Source organism: Homo sapiens, chromosome 15 (genome assembly GCF_000001405.40).
Source record: "Homo sapiens chromosome 15, GRCh38.p14 Primary Assembly".
Taxonomy (NCBI): domain Eukaryota; kingdom Metazoa; phylum Chordata; class Mammalia; order Primates; family Hominidae; genus Homo; species Homo sapiens.
The window spans coordinates 100919640-100936799 of record NC_000015.10 but is presented as its reverse complement, the minus strand read 5'-3'; the positions used below and the strand labels follow the sequence as shown (position 1 = coordinate 100936799).

The 17160-nt window shown below is 47.6% G+C and overlaps 1 protein-coding gene across 1 annotated transcript in view, besides 6 other annotated features; it reads right to left on the bottom strand.

Moving 5' to 3' along the window:
• LRRK1 (leucine rich repeat kinase 1) overlaps positions 1-17160 on the bottom strand; it is a 158901-nt gene that overhangs the window by 141458 nt on the left and 283 nt on the right. The window contains exon 2 of the mRNA NM_024652.6: positions 12071-12289. Coding sequence (NP_078928.3) covers positions 12071-12167 — 97 coding nt within the window. The 5' untranslated portion in view covers positions 12168-12289. The remainder of the gene's footprint in view (positions 1-12070; positions 12290-17160) is intronic.
• Positions 6529-7482: an enhancer, noted in NCBI's record as "H3K4me1 hESC enhancer chr15:101469523-101470476 (GRCh37/hg19 assembly coordinates)". NCBI's record gives its function as "activates a minimal SCP1, AML or CMV promoter by ChIP-STARR-seq in primed H9 embryonic stem cells {active_cell/tissue: H9 hESC(primed)}" and the evidence as "EXISTENCE:reporter gene assay evidence [ECO:0000049][PMID:30033119]".
• Positions 10343-10536: a silencer, noted in NCBI's record as "fragment chr15:101466469-101466662 (GRCh37/hg19 assembly coordinates)". NCBI's record gives its function as "represses an EF-1alpha promoter that drives an FKBP-Casp9 reporter gene in an ReSE screen in HepG2 liver carcinoma cells {active_cell/tissue: HepG2}" and the evidence as "EXISTENCE:reporter gene assay evidence [ECO:0000049][PMID:32094911]".
• Positions 11640-12140: an enhancer, noted in NCBI's record as "H3K4me1 hESC enhancer chr15:101464865-101465365 (GRCh37/hg19 assembly coordinates)". NCBI's record gives its function as "activates a minimal SCP1, AML or CMV promoter by ChIP-STARR-seq in primed H9 embryonic stem cells {active_cell/tissue: H9 hESC(primed)}" and the evidence as "EXISTENCE:reporter gene assay evidence [ECO:0000049][PMID:30033119]".
• Positions 12141-12641: an enhancer, noted in NCBI's record as "H3K4me1 hESC enhancer chr15:101464364-101464864 (GRCh37/hg19 assembly coordinates)". NCBI's record gives its function as "activates a minimal SCP1, AML or CMV promoter by ChIP-STARR-seq in naive and primed H9 embryonic stem cells {active_cell/tissue: H9 hESC(naive and primed)}" and the evidence as "EXISTENCE:reporter gene assay evidence [ECO:0000049][PMID:30033119]".
• Positions 15815-15874: an enhancer, noted in NCBI's record as "active region_10176". NCBI's record gives its function as "activates an Ori minimal core promoter by ATAC-STARR-seq in GM12878 lymphoblastoid cells {active_cell/tissue: GM12878}" and the evidence as "EXISTENCE:reporter gene assay evidence [ECO:0000049][PMID:35858748]".
• Positions 16401-16992: an enhancer, noted in NCBI's record as "H3K27ac-H3K4me1 hESC enhancer chr15:101460013-101460604 (GRCh37/hg19 assembly coordinates)". NCBI's record gives its function as "activates a minimal SCP1, AML or CMV promoter by ChIP-STARR-seq in naive H9 embryonic stem cells {active_cell/tissue: H9 hESC(naive)}" and the evidence as "EXISTENCE:reporter gene assay evidence [ECO:0000049][PMID:30033119]".

The window sequence follows — 17160 nt, the reverse complement described above, 5'->3', positions numbered from 1 at the left end:
AGCCAGCTGAGATGCCTCCTTCTCCCAGCTGAAGTGATAGCACCCAAGCTCAGTTTCCCATGGGTCTAGTGGCTCATCATAGAGGACTGCACATCCCACAGACCCCAAGTTGCCCCATAGAAGCAGCCAGCACCCACAGCTAGCATGCTATTGACAGGCTGGGCTCTGAGAGGGAAGACCCAGGCTGGACCCTTGGCTGGAGTAGAACCCAGCCCCATCCAGCCCTATCCAGTAGATGCCCTGGCATAGCTTCTTGTTAAAGGAGAGGCTGGGGGCCACATGCCATGCCATCTTGCAGATTCAGGCTTTGTGATTTTCTTTCTCTTAATAAAGCCTATTCCCTAATCTCAGTGGATGACATTGTGGAGTTCATGCCAACCCCTGCGCAATAGATGGTAGCCCAGGGGGAATCCACCTGGCAAGGCAGAAATGATACCATGTATTTACAGACACACACACACATACAGCCATAAAGGGTTCAGACTAACTTCAGAATAATGGCTACCCCTGGAGTTGAAGGAGAGCAGTGATCAGGGAGAGATCCAAAGGCGTTCTGGCTGTACCTGTAAGGTTTGACTTCTTAAAATATTTTCTTTGTAGCAAAAATGACAAAATAACGAATGTTGGTTAAATCTGAGTGATGGGTACATCTTTGATCCCTCCTTCCTTTACTCGTCACTCACCTAACCCGTATCAAAGCCTGCTCCTCTCACCAGGAGGTAGAGTCTATTTCCTGTGCCGGCCTAAATCTGGACTGGCCTTTGACTTGTTTTGACCCACAGGTAGTGGCCGAAGTGATGCTGTACCAGGTCTAGGCCTATGCCTTGGGAGGCCTAGAGGCTTCTGCTGCTAAACTCCAAGAATTCGGCAGTAGGCTGTAAAGAAGCTTGGGCTAGACATGCGGTGGATGAGAAGGTGTGTGGAAGAGAGAGAAGTCATGTGGAGGAGCACGGAGGGGCCAGACATGGGAGTGAAGCAAGAAGAACCACCAGCTGGGCCCTGCCTAGATTCCTGACCCACAGAAACCTGGGAAATGATCATTCGTTGTTCTTTTAAGCCAGCAAGTGATAGGGTGGTTTGTTACATACTTGTGTGTGGATACCCACACAAGTCCTGATAGCTTTATTTTGAGACCTATTCCCAGTGCATTCTCTTCCTCCCACTGCTACCCCACCATCCTGGCCCTCCTGGTGCCTTCTCTCCAGGGCTCTGGCAATAGCCTTCTAATTCCCTAAATAAAACCATGCAGCTCCTCAGATGTGTCCATCAGCCTTGGAACAAAATCTACACTCCTGCTGTGAAGGCTTTACCTCTCCAGCCCCATTTGGTGCTTCTCTCACTCTGCCCCAACTGCACAGGCCATCTTGCGGTCAGTCAAACCTACCGAGCTCATTCCCGCTGCCCAGCCTTTGCACTCACTGATGCCTTGCCAGGAGCACCATTTCCCCAGCTCCTTTACAGGACTGACCTGATTCCATTCACTTCATTCTGTGTAAATGCCACCTCCCCCCAGACACCTTCCCTGATCTCTGACCAGCAGTAGTGCCCTATGCCTGTCACTCTCCATCCCTGCAACCTGGTTGATTTCTGTCATGGCCCTGTTCACTCCTGACAGTAGAGTGCAGGTTTATTTACTGTGTTTCCCCTGCTGGAATAGAAACATCATGAGGACATTTTCCTGGCTTCCCAGAGCCCTGACCATAGCAGGCTCTGACATAGCCTGGAGTGTAGGACTAAGACCAGGCACAAGAGGGAGGGCTGAGCAGATCATTCTCTGTTATTTTCAGTATGTTCAATAAACCCTCTTCTTCCCAGCCTTCCTGTGGCTGCCTCCTTCTGGTCAACTGAGCAGACCTGAGATTCAACATCAATGTCTTACCTAATAATAAATCAAAATGGCCACACTGTGCCTCTTTTGTACATGATCTTACTCTAATGCTTCATTGAGCATCACTCTCTGGTTTTCTTCTTCCTTCCTTTTTTTTTTTTTTTTTTTTGAGACAGTTTCTTGCTGTGTCACCCAGGCTGAAATGCAGTGGTGTGATCTCTGCTCACTGCAGTCTCTGCCTCCTAGGCTCAAACAATCCTCCCACCTCAGCACCCCCAAGTAGCTGGGACCACAGGTGTGTGCCTCCACGACCGGCTAATTTTTTTTTTTTTTTTTTTTTTTTTTGTAGAGATGGGGTTTTGCCATGTTGGCCAGGCTGGTCTCAAACTCCTGAAGTCAAGTGATCCACTTGCTTGGCCTCCCAGAGTGCTGGGATTACAGGCATGAGCTACCTTGCTCAGCTCTCTTGTTCTTTGCTGTCTACTTTTCCTGCTACAACTGGAAGCCCTGTAAGGGCAGAGGCCACACTCCTGCTGTGTCCCCAGCATCTGGAACAGTGTCCTCCACAAGTGGATGCCTAAGAATGGTTGAAATAATCATGCTGAATTAATAAAGACAAACACAAAGCTGGGGCTTAGAAGAAATGTAGAGAATGCAGAGGTCATTAAAAAGAACTTCAAAAATAAGTGCCAGTGAAAAATATTTTTCTGCCAGCATTTTCACTGACTTAGTATCCTAGGAAGTTGCTTTCTATGTAATTTATAGACATTCTTTGCCTATAAAGTCAGCTGACTGCAAATTTCCCTAATAATGCTTTGAATCATATAATTATTGATTTGTCTGGAATTCACTGTAAAATATTGGTTTCAATACATGATTTTGACATCTTAAATAAATAAATAAAAATTAACTGAGAAGATAAGACTGACACCAAAATAAAATAAAATAAATGGCAATTAGGATCCTCTGGGAAATTCAAGAAAATACTGTGTACAAAACACAGGAGCACAACGCTATGAAAATAAACAACCAAGAACAGGAAAGAGTTTTGGAAATTAAGACTGAGTTCCAAAATGAAATGTTCAATAGACAGGTTAGAAGATGAAGTCAAGCAAATCTTTTTTTTTTTTTTTTTTTTTTTTTTTTTTTTGAGATGGAGTCTGGCACTGTGGCCCAGGCTGGAGTGGAGTGGTGTGATCTCAGCTCACTGCAACCTCTGCTTCCCAGGTTCAAGCGATTCTCATGCCTCAGCCTCCTGAGTAGCTGGGACTACAGGTGTGTGCCACCATACCCGGCTAATTTTTGTATTTTTAGTAAAGACGGGGTTTCGCCACGTTGGCCAGGCTGGTCTGGAACTCCTGACTTCAAGTGATCTGCCCACCTCAGCCTCTCAAAGAGCTGTGATTACCAGTGTGTTACTGGACCTGGTCAAAAGTTTATAAACATTAAGAAAAAGAACAACAGTTGGAAAATGTGAGCGAAAAGATAAGCAACCTGTATCTTAATTAATAGGAGTTCCAGAAAAACAAACAAAACAAAACTATAGCGAAAGCAGAAGAGAAAAATATTATCAAAGAAAATACAAGAAATGTCCCATGCATGAAAGGGATACATGCTTGGCCCACCCAGTGCCAAGCAGCAGGAATGGAAGAGGACCCTCACCCAGGTCTTTCGTTGGAAAATTTTGGAAGACCAAGCACACAGGGAAGATTCTGAAAGCTTCTGAAAGGGAAAACCAGGTCACCACAGGGCAGTGAGAATCACACCACATCAGAGGACAAGGGAGAAGGTTCCAAAGGCAGAGGATTCCAATTGAGATCGCAGGAGAGGGCAAAATAAAGATGCCCTCAGGAACACAGAGTCTCCTGCAGGAGCCTCCCAGGAGGCCTTTCTTAGGCATTTTCTTGCTGATGCATTCCAATTAAATAAAGGTGCAAAGTAAGAGTCCTGGGTGGGAGGCGGGAGGCCGATGGAGGTAGCAGGGAAGGGGGTGATTCTCATCTCCAGGGCTCCACAGAACACTGGGTCTCCAGGCACTCGTCATCACGAAGGGAACATGTCATTTAAAGTCACAAATGTAACCTAGGGATGAGTCAGCCCCAAAAGAATGAAATGCAGAGGGAGCAGCAGATAGATGGGGTGCAAAAGGGAAGGAAATATTCATTTATTATGGCAGGAAGTCAACAGGCACTGTTTCAACGGATCAGCAATAGAGAGGTGCAGGCATCTTCTTTACATTGAGAAATGATAATTACCTGAAGAACTAAAACCAGAAACAGGAAATAACAACTCTTTTGGGAAGTTGACACTGGGGCAGGGCCTTGTTGCTTTTCCTATATTATAGTCCCTTCTGTCTGACAGCCTTCATTAACCAGGGGTATGCCTTCCTTTGATAATTTTTAATGTGCTTGTTCTGTGATCCCGCCATTCTGCTGGGGCATATGCAGTAATATTCAACTCTTAGAAGCAAAAGGTAGAAAGAATCTAAAGACCCTTTAATAAGACATTGATGAAAGATGGTTGGATTCACACCAGATGTGGTGCATATAGAGGGAACTCTGAGACATCCTCAAGGGAAAAAAGTTGTACAATAGTATGTACAACTGAATATGCATGTAAAACCAGAAATATATACAAAGATAACCATACATGTGCTTTGGAAGAGGTTAGGAAGAAAACACACTCAGGCCAGGTGCTGTGGCTCACGCCTGTAATCTCAGCACTTTGGGAGGCCGAGACGAGTGGATCACTTGAGGTCAGGAGTTCCAGACCAGCCCGGCCAACATGGTGAAACACCATCTCTACTAAAAATACAAAAATTTGCTGGGCGTGGTGGCGAGTGCCTGTAATCCCAGCTACTCAGGAGGCTGAGGCAGGAGAATCGCTTGAACCCTGGAGGTGGAGGTTGCAGTGAGCCGAGGTTGCGCCATTGCACTCCAGCCTGAATGACAAGAATGAAACTCCGTCTCAAAACAAACAAACAAACAAAAAGAAAACACACTCAGCTAACAGTGATTACCCATGGGCATGATGGAAAGGGGGCCAAGAATAACTGTGGCTTTCTCTTATCATGTCAATCCACTGTGTGAATTGTGGAATTCCATATAAATAACTTTTTTCTTAACCTTCAGGGAGGAGTCAGGCACCAGGAGAATGCTCATAGTGCACTGTCAGGCAGCGGTTCTTCGCTTGCTTCTTATTTTTGAACCCGTGGGTGCTGGTGAAGGTTGCACAGAGACTGGAGTGACGGCCCACTGGAGCCATTTTTGCCTGGAAGCTGGGGTGGGGGCAGAATGACTGGAGGAGCCCTGCCCTGGCCTCCCGCGCCAGCCCCACCAGCAGATCGAGGCCCTGAACCTTCCATCTCTAACCCTGCAGGTGTGGGCCACCTGTGACCACCCACTTGCCTCTCTGAGTTCACACGGCTGTGTCAAGTCCAAACTAAGCTGCTAACAGGAACTTCAGAGAGCCATTCCTGTCCACTTACATTCAATTTCTAACCTCAAATTTGCATCGTAACATGGCTTCATATTTAAAATAATCGATTAAGATGTTCTCTGCCTTTAAATATCTCTGAGTCACTGAAAAGTTCAAAGTGTCACGTAAGTTATTTTTGTTCTCGGTTCTCCTGAAACGACCAGGTAGGTGATTTTAAGCCAACATTTGGCAATGTGCCACGGCCCCTGGGTGCTGGATGTTGAATGGAGGATGAGAGGATGTCGCCAGGCACAACCCCAGCAGCATTAGCAAAAGGAACTGCAATCCTCAAAAGTTCTTTACAGTTGAAAATACAAGTTCTGATTAATGTGTGCTTCTTTGTGCAGCATGGGGGTGATGAGCTCAGGAAGGACTCTATTGCTTGAGATATGTGTTTCTGTTCGGTTTTCTCGTTTCTTTTTTATGACAAATGTCACCCAATAAGTAGCAAGATGGCTAAGTGGAATCTGGACAAACTGAACCCAAGGGTGGCCTGAATAGTGAAGGGACTCAGAATTGGGACTTCCAAAGAATAATAGCAGCTTCTTATTTTCATTCATCAAACTTTCCAAAAATGTGCGTGCAATTCACACACTCAAGTTTAGACTTACATGGCATTGGGAGTGGTGGGAGGGCTCCATTCCCAGAGAACTAAAGAATTTCATAAAAATCCCTAGTGATGGCTCCTTCAAAGTCTGACTCAGGCAAACCAGGAGGGGTGAAAATCCTTGTCGCTCTGCACAGGGGCCTGGGGAGGCCCACATGGACATCTCCCTGCTCTCAGGCTACTGATCTCTTCATGGGGGCCAGGGCAGATGGCTGGTAAGAAAATCTTCTCTCTTGGTGGCTGAATGCATGCCAAGTGAGCCTGGGCTGCTCCCTAGCAAGCACAGAGGCCACCAGATAGGGCTGCCCTGCACACCCCACATAAAGGAGGCCAAGTCAGGAGCAAGTGTGGGGTGGGGGAGGCCAGGGAGGGGGTGAGGACTGGGGCTCTGGTGAGCTACCACATTCAGGCTTGGGCCACCTAGGATGGGGTGGATCAGTGGGGGTGCTCCTGAAAGCCGGTCCACGGCAGGGTGGGGAAGCAGGTAGGGGCAGCTCTCCCTGTGGACCCAGGTGTGTATGGCCTAATAATTAGCCCACAGACAGACTGAGAAGTCAAAAAACTCTTGGATATCCAAGCGGAACGTGTAAAGTTGCCGGCGGCCTGTCCGTGGGATGGCTTACTCAGCCTAAAAAGGAATCTGCAGGGAGGGCAACACATCTGCTTTTAGTGACTCCAAGAAATGGGTTAAGGGATTCCGATCTGTCTAAATGAATAAAGCCTGGTGCAAAGAGAGCCCCACAGCATCCACTTCCTACCAGAGCTGCCCACAGAAAGGCTGGCGTTGTTTGCTAGGGAGTCAGCTCCCCATTGCTAGAAGTAAGCAAGCACATTCCAGACAAGTAACCAGGAGAAGATCTAAGCCTCAGGTTAAAACGAATGTTCAAAGGCTCATCAAGGGCCTGGAGCATCTGTAGCTGGCCTCTGCTTTGTAAGCATGAAGCACAGCTGTGCTAACTGCCACCTGCATGGATGGACGCACACAGCCACCTCGCCTGCCACCTGGGCCACCAATCAGCTTCCCTGTCCTTCTCCTCACTCATTAAAAGATTCCTGACCAGACGTGGCTGTGCTCCCTGGAGGGGCTGGTGAACTCCTGCAGCCAGGCTGGAATCTCCTTCCCTGCAAGGCCCTGCCTGCCCTGTTTCCTGTGGCTCTCACGGTGTGAACACAGCCCAGCACGTTCAGGCAGGAATCCAACAGGAGGAACAGGTCAGAGATGTGGGCTGGCTCATCACTGGGGATCTGTCCCTCGTAGACTTTCCTGCTGTGGCCTGACAAGAAGGCTGGCTGCCACCCTAGAGGCTCTTCCTAATTTGATCTATTTCCTAGTTCTATTTCTGGAAGGCAGGAAGAGACCCTACTTGAGCAAACCTCTTAGCTCCTATATTAAGGAGTTGTATTTCAAATACAGATTCGCAAAAGCCAAAGGAGAAAAAAACAAGACATTGGAAGTAGCCATGAAACAACCTGGGATTTGAAGAACTTCTGGAATGTTCCTTCTCCTCCTTTGGTCCATGCTGGGTCCGGTGGTGGGCAGTGCTCTGAGAGGTGTGTGACTGTGGCAGGGCTTTCAGGACCGAAGCGACGGCCACTCACAGAGAGCTGGGGGGGCGAGCCACTGCCTGGGTGATGTCTGCTCAAGTTCCACCCACCCTCCGCAATCCAGAAGTCTTCCCAAGTATTCTCCACCTGAATTATGTGGAAGTTTCCTGACTTCTCTACTTTCCAGGACAGCTCTCCTTGGCTGGCGGGACTGGTTTTTCCACTCTGGCTGGTGTCAGACATACTCAGAAGAATGAACATCTAATGACATGTTTGTCAAAGTAATGCGCGTCCTGCAGCCCATGCCCAGCATCTCATTGACAGCTGCTCTGTCAGCTGGCAAACTCTACGCCCATCAAAGCTTTCCAACCATTCCTCTTGCACCGCAGGCGAGCTGACTGCTGCTGGTGCTAATGAGGTTGAGATTGTCACACACCTTCCTGGGACACAATTGTGTTGCACAAACACACAGCGGGCCGCACGGCAGGGCAGACACACACAGACCCCAGCCTCACACCAGCTGGGCAAAGCCCCCCACATCCAGGGGCTTTGAAAGGATTAACCATTGTAAACAAACATGAGCTGAGGTCACGCAAGTCACAACAGGTAGGGGGTGTGAAAAGGCGTGCCTAGTACACAAATAAAAAATTAAAAATACCATTACCCCAACACCCAAGAGTAGACACTCTTTTTTAAAGTGTGGGTCTTTTTCTAACGCACACGTGGAAGTATAATAAGAACGTCGTCGTTTTCAATCACGTTATCTTCCAAGGATTTTTAAAGCATGAGAAAGCTGTCCCTACATAATTTTGAGTGTCGTTAGTTTTCCTTCTGGCGGCCAACTTTTCTCAGCCGGAGCTGGAAATTAGGCCTGAACAGTGTTCCCTGAGTGAGGCTGGTGGATTTGGGGGGTGGGAGAGGGGAAACAGGGCTCCCTATCATCCCAGGAAGTCTAGGAGAAGGTGGGATGGGACAAATCCAGCTTAGGCTCTGGGGACATGTGCAGAGGGTGAGTCCTGCGGGGGGATCAGCTGCAGTCATAGTAAGTCAAGTATTCCGCATTTATTCCAGAAAGACTTCAAGGCAAAGAGGCCAGTGGAGGCAGATCTAACTTTGGATGTAAGCACAGGAGGTTTACCGTTTAGATTCTAAACACAAATCATCAGTACTTAAATAAACAATAATTTAAAAATAACTTGCAATATTATTCGTCTGGATGCAAAAGAAGGCAAAACAAAACAAAAAGCAATGTGTAGATATTGCAGGAAACATAAACAGCACCGATGAGCAAAGCACAGTGACTGCAATCCCAGCACACAGACGTGGCCACACGCCACCCTTTGAGCATTACCTGCTCCTTGGCTGTAGTCTTAGTGTACACATTTATTAATATATTCTGCGAAAATGAAATCCAACATGCAATGCGTTAAAATTGGGCTTTACAGAGGGAGCACTGTAGGCTTTAGTCCCTGGAATTAATAACTTCTGTTAGTGAGCTCCAGGGCTGGGGCTCACAGGCTCAGTTCTGCTGGTACCACCTGTGGGACCTTAAAACTCTGAGTATGGGTATAAATTAGTAGCTTCTCACCAGATTCCTTATGAGGATTTGGTTATTATTGTAATTCATTAACATGTAACATAATTTTCTTAATGCTAAACAGGGGACAGAACTTTCTGGGGTGTTTCAGGCTATCTTCCTCTCCTCTTCAACTCTGTGTTCTCTGTATTAGGTCACTGCACAAACACCTCCCTCATTCTCAGGGGTTCCCAGGGTGTCACTTCCCTGTCCTGTCCCTACTTCAAGCTCCTTGAACAGTACACAGTGAAGGCTGCTGAGGTCACGTCAGGGTCCTTGGCCCTTGTGTGTGTCCCTTGGGTTATACAGAACAGGGATAGCAGGGATTCCTGAGATCCCACTGGGGAAAGAGGCCATCAGAGCAGAGTCAGGAGAGGACACCTCCTAAGGAGCAGTGCCAAGCTCAGATGCAGGCCTTTAGGGAGAATCATGGGGGCTGGGGAGTGCCACACTTTGGCCTTTCGGAACACCTTAACATTTTCTGGTTATCTGTCCTGCCACGAGCTTGGAGGTGGGGATGGGTTTGTCCAAAGCCCATTGCGCCCCGGTCCCTGGGACCTGTAAGAATCAACGGGGGATCCCTGGGGACCTAGAAACGCAGGCTGTCTGTGCCCCAGGCCTCCTGAATGAGATTCTGCATTTCATCAGGATCCCCAGGGGACATGTGCACCTGATAATTTGAGAAGTGCTGCTCTATGGGACTCAAACCATTTAGATGGCCTGATTCTCAACTTTAGCTACACGTTAGAATCACTAGGGAACTTTGAAAAATTAGCCATGCTGGCCGGGCGCCGTGGCTCACACCTGTAATCCCACCCCTTTGGGAGGCTGAGGTGGGTGGATCACTTGAGGTCAGGAATTCTAGACCAGCCTGGCCAACATGGTGAAACTTCGTCTCTACTAAAAATACAAAAATTAGCTGGGCGTGGTGGCGCACGCCTGTAGTACCAGCTACTCAGGAGGCTGAGGCAGGAGAATCACTTGAACCTGGGAGGTGGAAGTTGCAGTGAGCTGAGGTCATGCTACTGCACTCCAGCCTGGGTGACAGAGCAAGACACTGTCTCAAAAAAAAAAAAAAAAAAAAAAGAAAAAAAGAAAAGAAAAAGAAAAGAAAGAAAGAAAATGAAAAAGAAAAAATTACCCATGCTTGTTCACTCCCCGCCCCCCTGCCCCAAGATGCTGCTCCAGTGGGTCCAGGTGGTGCCAGGGCCCTGCCGGTTTGAGCCACTACCCAGTGACTGTGTGGGCCGTGGTTGAGAAGCACTCCTTTAGATCACCAACTGTTGACCAGGAGGGGAGGGAGCAGCGCCTCCTGTGGGCTTTTTCAGATGACACAGTCACCTACCCTACAGGCCCCAAACAGACCCAAGGTCCCTGTCCCCACCCTCGTCCCTCAGGGCTGCGAAGAGGAGCAGCAGGAGGATAAGGGAGCCTCACGTGCACTGGAAAGGTGGAGGTGCTACCCCCAAATCGGGGACTGCGTTCTATCACCCACGCCACCTCGATCTCACACCAACAGAGCAAGGTCTTCCTACCACACAACTGAAAAAAGACACACGTCTAATACAAAGAAAAAGAAAATTTACAAAGATGCAAGTTGAACACTCTGGAAAGATTTAGTGCTGGGCAATGTCAAGAAGCAAATTCGTTTCCCATTTCATAATGTGATGGATGTGAAACGACACCTTCCAGAAACATCACCCTGGTCAGCTGCTGGACATTTCAGATGGAGTGAAAACACTCAAACAACTGAACAAAGTGTCTGCCAAGCCAGGTACAGTGGCCGATCGTTAGTTAACACGGTTAAGGGTACAAACGTGGGCCTCTCAGACCCAACCTGTTGACCCTTTCACCTCCCATAGTGTGGCCTAGCATTTAAGAATGAGTGTTGCAGCATTAAGACAGGGTTCAGATGGCAATTCTGTGATTTCTGAGTTGTTGACCTTGAACACGTTTCCAGGCTTCTCTTACCCTCATGTTCCTCAGCTATAAAACGGAAATAAAAGTACCATGTGCCAGGTTGTCGTGAGGATTTTATGACATTATTTCGTAAAGTTCTGAACTTTGTACATGTAGTGCCTGGTACATACTAAGGGATTGACAAATATTTGTAAACGATGATATCCTATTGGTCTTAAAGGTGGTGCAAGTGTAGCGGAAAATCTGGCAAAATACGTGCCAAGAGCTTAACGATGTTCAAGACCAATCATTCAACTTCTGTAAACCTGCATTACAGAAATAACCTTGAAACCAGGTATGAAGAGATGGGAAGGAAATGCTCTCAGTAGGAGTAAACAACTAGAAGCAACCCAAATGTCCCACAGGAGAATAAGGATTAGGTCAATAACTGCACATAGCACTCCCGCAGATAATGATGTTTGTTTTGGTTCGGAGTACTGCCCAATTTATGAATCATTTTTTGATCCAATTATTAAATCGTAAAAAAATAAAATAAAATAAATGAAATGATGTTTCACTTGATTGCGGGAGCCAGGTGGTGCCCTAAGCAAATGTCACTGATGGACGGTGAAGAGAAAAAAGCAACATGCAACATTACATACACCTTGTAAGTACAATAAGGTTAAAACAAAGTCCCCTAAACACAGAGAAGCAGAGACTAGGAGAGAACATGCCAAGATGCTCATTGTACTTGTGTTTGAGATAGCGGGATTCTGGATGATTCCTTTCCCTTCTTCCTTTTTTTTAAATTATTTTTTTCAATTTTTCCTTAATAAACATGTATTATTTTTATAATGAAAAAACAAAACTACATCCTTTTTCTTAAAAGTTCTTTAACCCAGCATGAAGTGATGTCCCAATTGTTAAGATCTGTGAGTCCACAATAAATTTTGTACACTGTTCCTCAATTTTTAGAATTTAAGAGTCCCAAGATATATTATATGATGAAAGAGCACCAAATGATGGACATTTGATTTCCACTGGTTGAGAACTCCTTGTTCTTACATAGCCTAGACACCCTGCAGGATGAGCATGGCAGGTCACACCCAGGCAGGCATAAGCACAGCCCTGTCCTTACCGTTAAGCGTCTCCATGGCACGTTCTGGACACACAGCTGACTCCTCCGGCCCCACACACCAGTACATGCTGGGGGGTCTTTGCGACATGCCAGCCATCAACCCTTGCAGCAGCCGATCTTCAAAGGCAGGTCCCGCTGTTGTCACTGCCACTGCCGCTGGCTGTGGGGTGCATTAAGGCGTGGACTCGTAGCCATGGCTGAGCAGAAAGCTTTCTTGCTCTGGTGGCGAAAAACAATCAAAACAGAAAGCCTTTATAATTCCTGTCCTCCTCCCCTGCAAATATTTGCATGGGTTCATTTAGTTTTCCCTCTGCAACATTCCTTTTTGTAGTCCATCTATCCAGCCAAACCCATCAGGTGTGGTCAGTGGGAAGGCACAGCTCCCCCCATCCCATCTTGATGCGGGGCTCAGGTATTGTCTACCTGAGAAGAGTCTCAAACAAACCCCAGACAATTGGAAAACACATACTGGTAACAGCTTCAATCATTGTTCAGTCAACGCACACCTACTGTCACATGCAAGGTAGCCAGGCTCTGTGTGAGGCTCAGTGGCACCAAGATGGCTCAAGGAGGCTCTTGCCCTCAGGGGCACACTCCAGTGGGGGTAGGGCAGACATAGTTAAGGTTAGTCACGATACAAGGCTCTCCTTTTGCCCGGGGCCAGTTCTTCTGGAAGCCAGAGGTGAGCACGTCATCCCAAGGGGGTGGTCAGGCAACAGTTCCAAAGACATGGAATTATTACTGGTTATGAAGTCAAGTTAGCATGAGCTTTAGCAGAAAGCTAAATGACGGAGGTTAGCAGACATGAGCCTCAAAAATTCTGCCCCTTTCCCAGGGGACATTTGGCAATGTCTGGAGACATTTTTGGTTGCCACAACTTGGCTGGGGGAGAGTGCTACAGGCCTCTAATGGGTAGAGGTCAATGATGCTGCTAAACATCCTACAATGTACAGGACTGCTATTTGCAACAAAGAATTATCTGGCCCCAAAAGTTCCAGGGTGGAGTTAGACTAATCTCTGAAACTAATGACTATGATAAACTGAGACCAAGTGCTGCTCTTCTATGCTGGGCCCCCACTGAGCTTAGAGTCCCCCCATGGGCATAAGTGCCCATCCTGGTATGGTGATTGAAGGACCAGAGGGAGGGTAAGACCCATGCCTAGCTCAGGCCTGACATGAGGTACTACCATAAGTAATGCATGTGCGCCTATCCTTGTTCTTATAGCATATCCTACATGTGATGAAGTACGAGGTAATTAGCACCTCTTGTCTGTGTTCTCTCAGATAGACAACTCTGAAATGGGGAGTGATAGTGCAGCCAAAAATATATTTTTTAAATCAAGGTTATATAAAAATAATGCCTAAGAGAATCTGTACAGGCAAAAGCATAGCGTGGACGTTAAAGGTGTGGACTGCCTGTGTCACATGTTCGCAGTGTGACTCCCAGCTGAAAGGTATGTGTGTCTCAGTTTTCACCTGTTAAAAATAGACATCCACCCTTATGCCCGGGCCTGCTAGTGGGGTTACTGTGTGAATTCAACCAAAGTGAAGTTTCTGCAGCCTCTCTCTACGACAGGGCTGGGGTGGTCATTACCTGTAGTACCAGCGCACAGACTTGGAGGCCAGCGGGTCTCCCACTTCCCTGCTAATTAATAAGATCAGAATATCAATGCTGGAGGGCAGATGCCAGCCTCACCAGCGGGTAGGTTCTAGAAGATGCCGTGAGCAGTAGGGGCACGAAGTAAGGTACAGGACAAGGCTGTGGGAATTTCTCACCTAAAAGCCTAGAACTCAGGCACCTGGCCCAGGTGGACTGGACTCGTCAAGGCAGGGAAAGGTGGAGCTAGAAAAGCCAGGCTCCAGCAGCCTTGTGCAAGCTGCACATGTTTCAGAGGCAAAAGGGATGGTCGACACAAACCACGTGTGGGAAACACCTGTGTTTGAAGTTGGGAAGCCTGAAAAGTCGAAGGAGGAAAGGAAAAACGATCAATCTGGGCAAAATTTAGGGGATGATGAAAGCCTTATAAATAGCAAAACCTGATTTGGAAAATCAACTTGTGACAGAGAGAGGAAGAGCCAGCAAGACAGAATCTGTTTTAAAATAAACGTTCCGATCACACATTCACATCCAGAAACTGAGAAGCACAGTTGCCATCTGCTTTCAGACACCTCTCCAAAACAGCTACCGCACATAACCAACAGCATTTCAAAAATCCAAACGCTAGACATTCTTCCTGAAAACAGAAGTGTCTTACCATACAATGTTTTTAAGTTCTAAAAAAAAAAAAATCTTAAAATTATTTCAGGCTAACCCTCACCCAGCACATTTTGTTCCCCTTTTCATTTTCAGTTTCCTTTTGAAAATCACTTTACCAGTGGAAGACTCTGCCCCTGGAGCAGTTTTAAAATTCTAGTTACTATTTTGGCTTATATTCTAAGGTAGAAGTTTTAAGATGAGGTAATTCAAATTTTGCTCAATCTTTGCCCTCAAACGGATCTTTGCTTCCTCCTGCTTCTTTTGGGTCCAGAGAGGTGCCAACAAGTGATGATTACAAGTTACATGTCTTCATTATACACCCTAAAGAGGGCATCAAGAGGTTTTCAGCAGTAATGATGGTTTAAATGATTTTTCAAAACCTCATCAATTTCCTTTTGCCAACTATTTATACCTGCATTAATGAATAAACCTAAACATTTAATGGAAAAGAAAATAGATGGGTGCGGTGGTTCACGCTTGTAATCCCAGCTCTTTGGGAGGCCGAGGAGAGTGGATCACTTGAGGTCAGGAGTTCGAGATCACCCTGGCCAATATGGTAAAAACCCATCTCTACTAAAATTACAAAAATTAGCTGGGCATGCTGGTGGGCGCCTGTAATCCCAGCTACTTGGGAGGCCGAGGCATGAGAATCACTTAAACTGGGGGAGGTGGAGGTTGCAGTGAGCCAAGATTGCACCACTGCACTCCAACCTGGGTGACAGAGCAAGACTCTAGAGAAAAGAAAAGAGAAGAACCTGTCATTCATTCTACAAATGTCTTATTGAGTTCTTTCTATGAAGAGGGAACTTCATGAGTTTGTGAAGCTGGTGGGGGAGCAGACAGCTAAGTAATTGCTATAAAGCTTCTGACAGCAGAGAAGCCCAGATATTTTAGGAGGCTTGGGAAGGACTGTCGATATCAGTTAGAAGTTAGAAGTCCCTTGCAAGCAAAGCATGCTAGACATGCTCATTCATATCACCTAGTTCCTTTTTGAAACAAAATCCTGGTCAAAATGGTTAGCCCATGATTCTAGAAATCTCTTGAGTGCTATTTGCATCCCTTACTAGCATTGGCTTTTGCCTATAAAATGTGTTTAATGGGTTTGGGGGCATCCAAATATCTTGGAGCTGCAGGCCAGAGAAATATGTTGTTCTCAATCCCAGATGAGCCCAAAAAGGGTGGAGGAGAGAAATGCTCCATGAGTCTGAAACCACAGGTAAGTTAGGGTTGTCCATTCCCCATCCAGTCACTCTACCACCATGCACGGGGTATCTCCCTGTACAGTTATGGGAATGAGGGCACAGCAATAAGCAAGACAGATCAGTCTCTGACCCCAAGAGCTCCAGTGGAGACCACAAGATAATTAAGGAGAAATTAAACAGATAAAGAAGGAGTACAGAATGGGGACTGCAGGGAGGCTGCAGAGTGAGGGATGTGAGAGGGAGCGTGGGTTTTCAGAGGGTGACCAGGGAAGACTTTCTGAGGCTGTGTGAAGAGTCAGGAGGCAGCAGTGCAGGGGACCAGTGCTGGACAGCAAGCTCAGCCAGTGTGGCCTGGGGCAATGGCCTGGTGGTCCGAGACAGCAGAGGCTGGATCAGCTGGGGGTGTGAGGAGAAGGAGGTCTCCTGGATTGCGTGCCAGTTGCAAGGAGAAGCTACTGAAGGACTCCATAAAGAGGACTGATATGGTCTGATTTACCCATTTAAACACACAGACACACACAGACGCACGCTGCTATATAGAGAATGGAGGAAGGGGGAACTGAAATCCTACAGTAAAGAGATGCTGGTACCCTGGACAAGGGGCAGGGTGGGGGGTGGGGGCATAAGAAAAAGGGGACAGATCAGGACACATTTTAGACATAGATTCAACAGACTGAATGTTTTTTATCTGAGGATCCGAGTTGACTGCGAGGTCACTGCCAGAGACATCGACTTTTGGGAGAGGGAAAGGTTTGGCTGACCGCAAAACCTCCTTTAGGAACAAATTAGGTGTGAGGTTAGTTTGTTATATTATTTTCTCTTTCAGGACATAGGCAAAGATGAAGAGAATCAAATCATAAAAGGCGTTTAATGTTAACATTTTCCAAAATTGTGCATGTTCTAGCTATCCCTTTAATGTCTGGGCATTTTGATACCCTGTGAGTGGCTGGCAAACTCTATCATTAGTGTACACGGTGAGAGGTTTGCTGAAAGCTATATGCCCCCGTTTCTCTACCTGTTGCAGGGGAAGTGTTCGTGGGAGAAAAACTTCGCGGCCTCATACTGTGAAGGGGTAGGTTGAGATGGCCACGGGGGTTCTCAGATTCTCCACCAGCGTCTCCTCGCTGACCCCGGCCTTCCTAGGCTTCCTTCCCGCGTCCCTGCCTGCCAGGAAGGTCCCCTGTAGCTTGCAGAGACCATGGTAGACAGAGCAGTTGTATCTGCGCCAGCCAGAGACCACCTGGGCAAGAAGCGTGACCCAGACATCGAGGAGGGTGAAGCCTCGCTGGGCCGCCCCGCAACCCCAGGAAGCCCCGGACCAGCGAGAGGCTCCCGGGCGGTCTCTTGCCGACACCCCGGCACGGGCTCACCCGCGCGCTCACACTCCGCCCGCTCCCCGCTAAGGGACTGGGTTCGCTCCAAAGGCAGAGGAAACCTATGGGCTCCCCGGCTCGTGTCTCCCGACTCGTGTCTCTTGCCTCCGCTTCCCAGCTTTCCCGACCCTGCCCGGACGGGGTTTCGGGGTTCCCTGCTCGGGCCCCGCGCGCTCCCCTCCCACAGGCTGGCTGGGCTCCGGGCGCGGCGGGAGGCAGCGGGGACGTGAGACCGGGGTCGCCCCACACGCCCTCCGC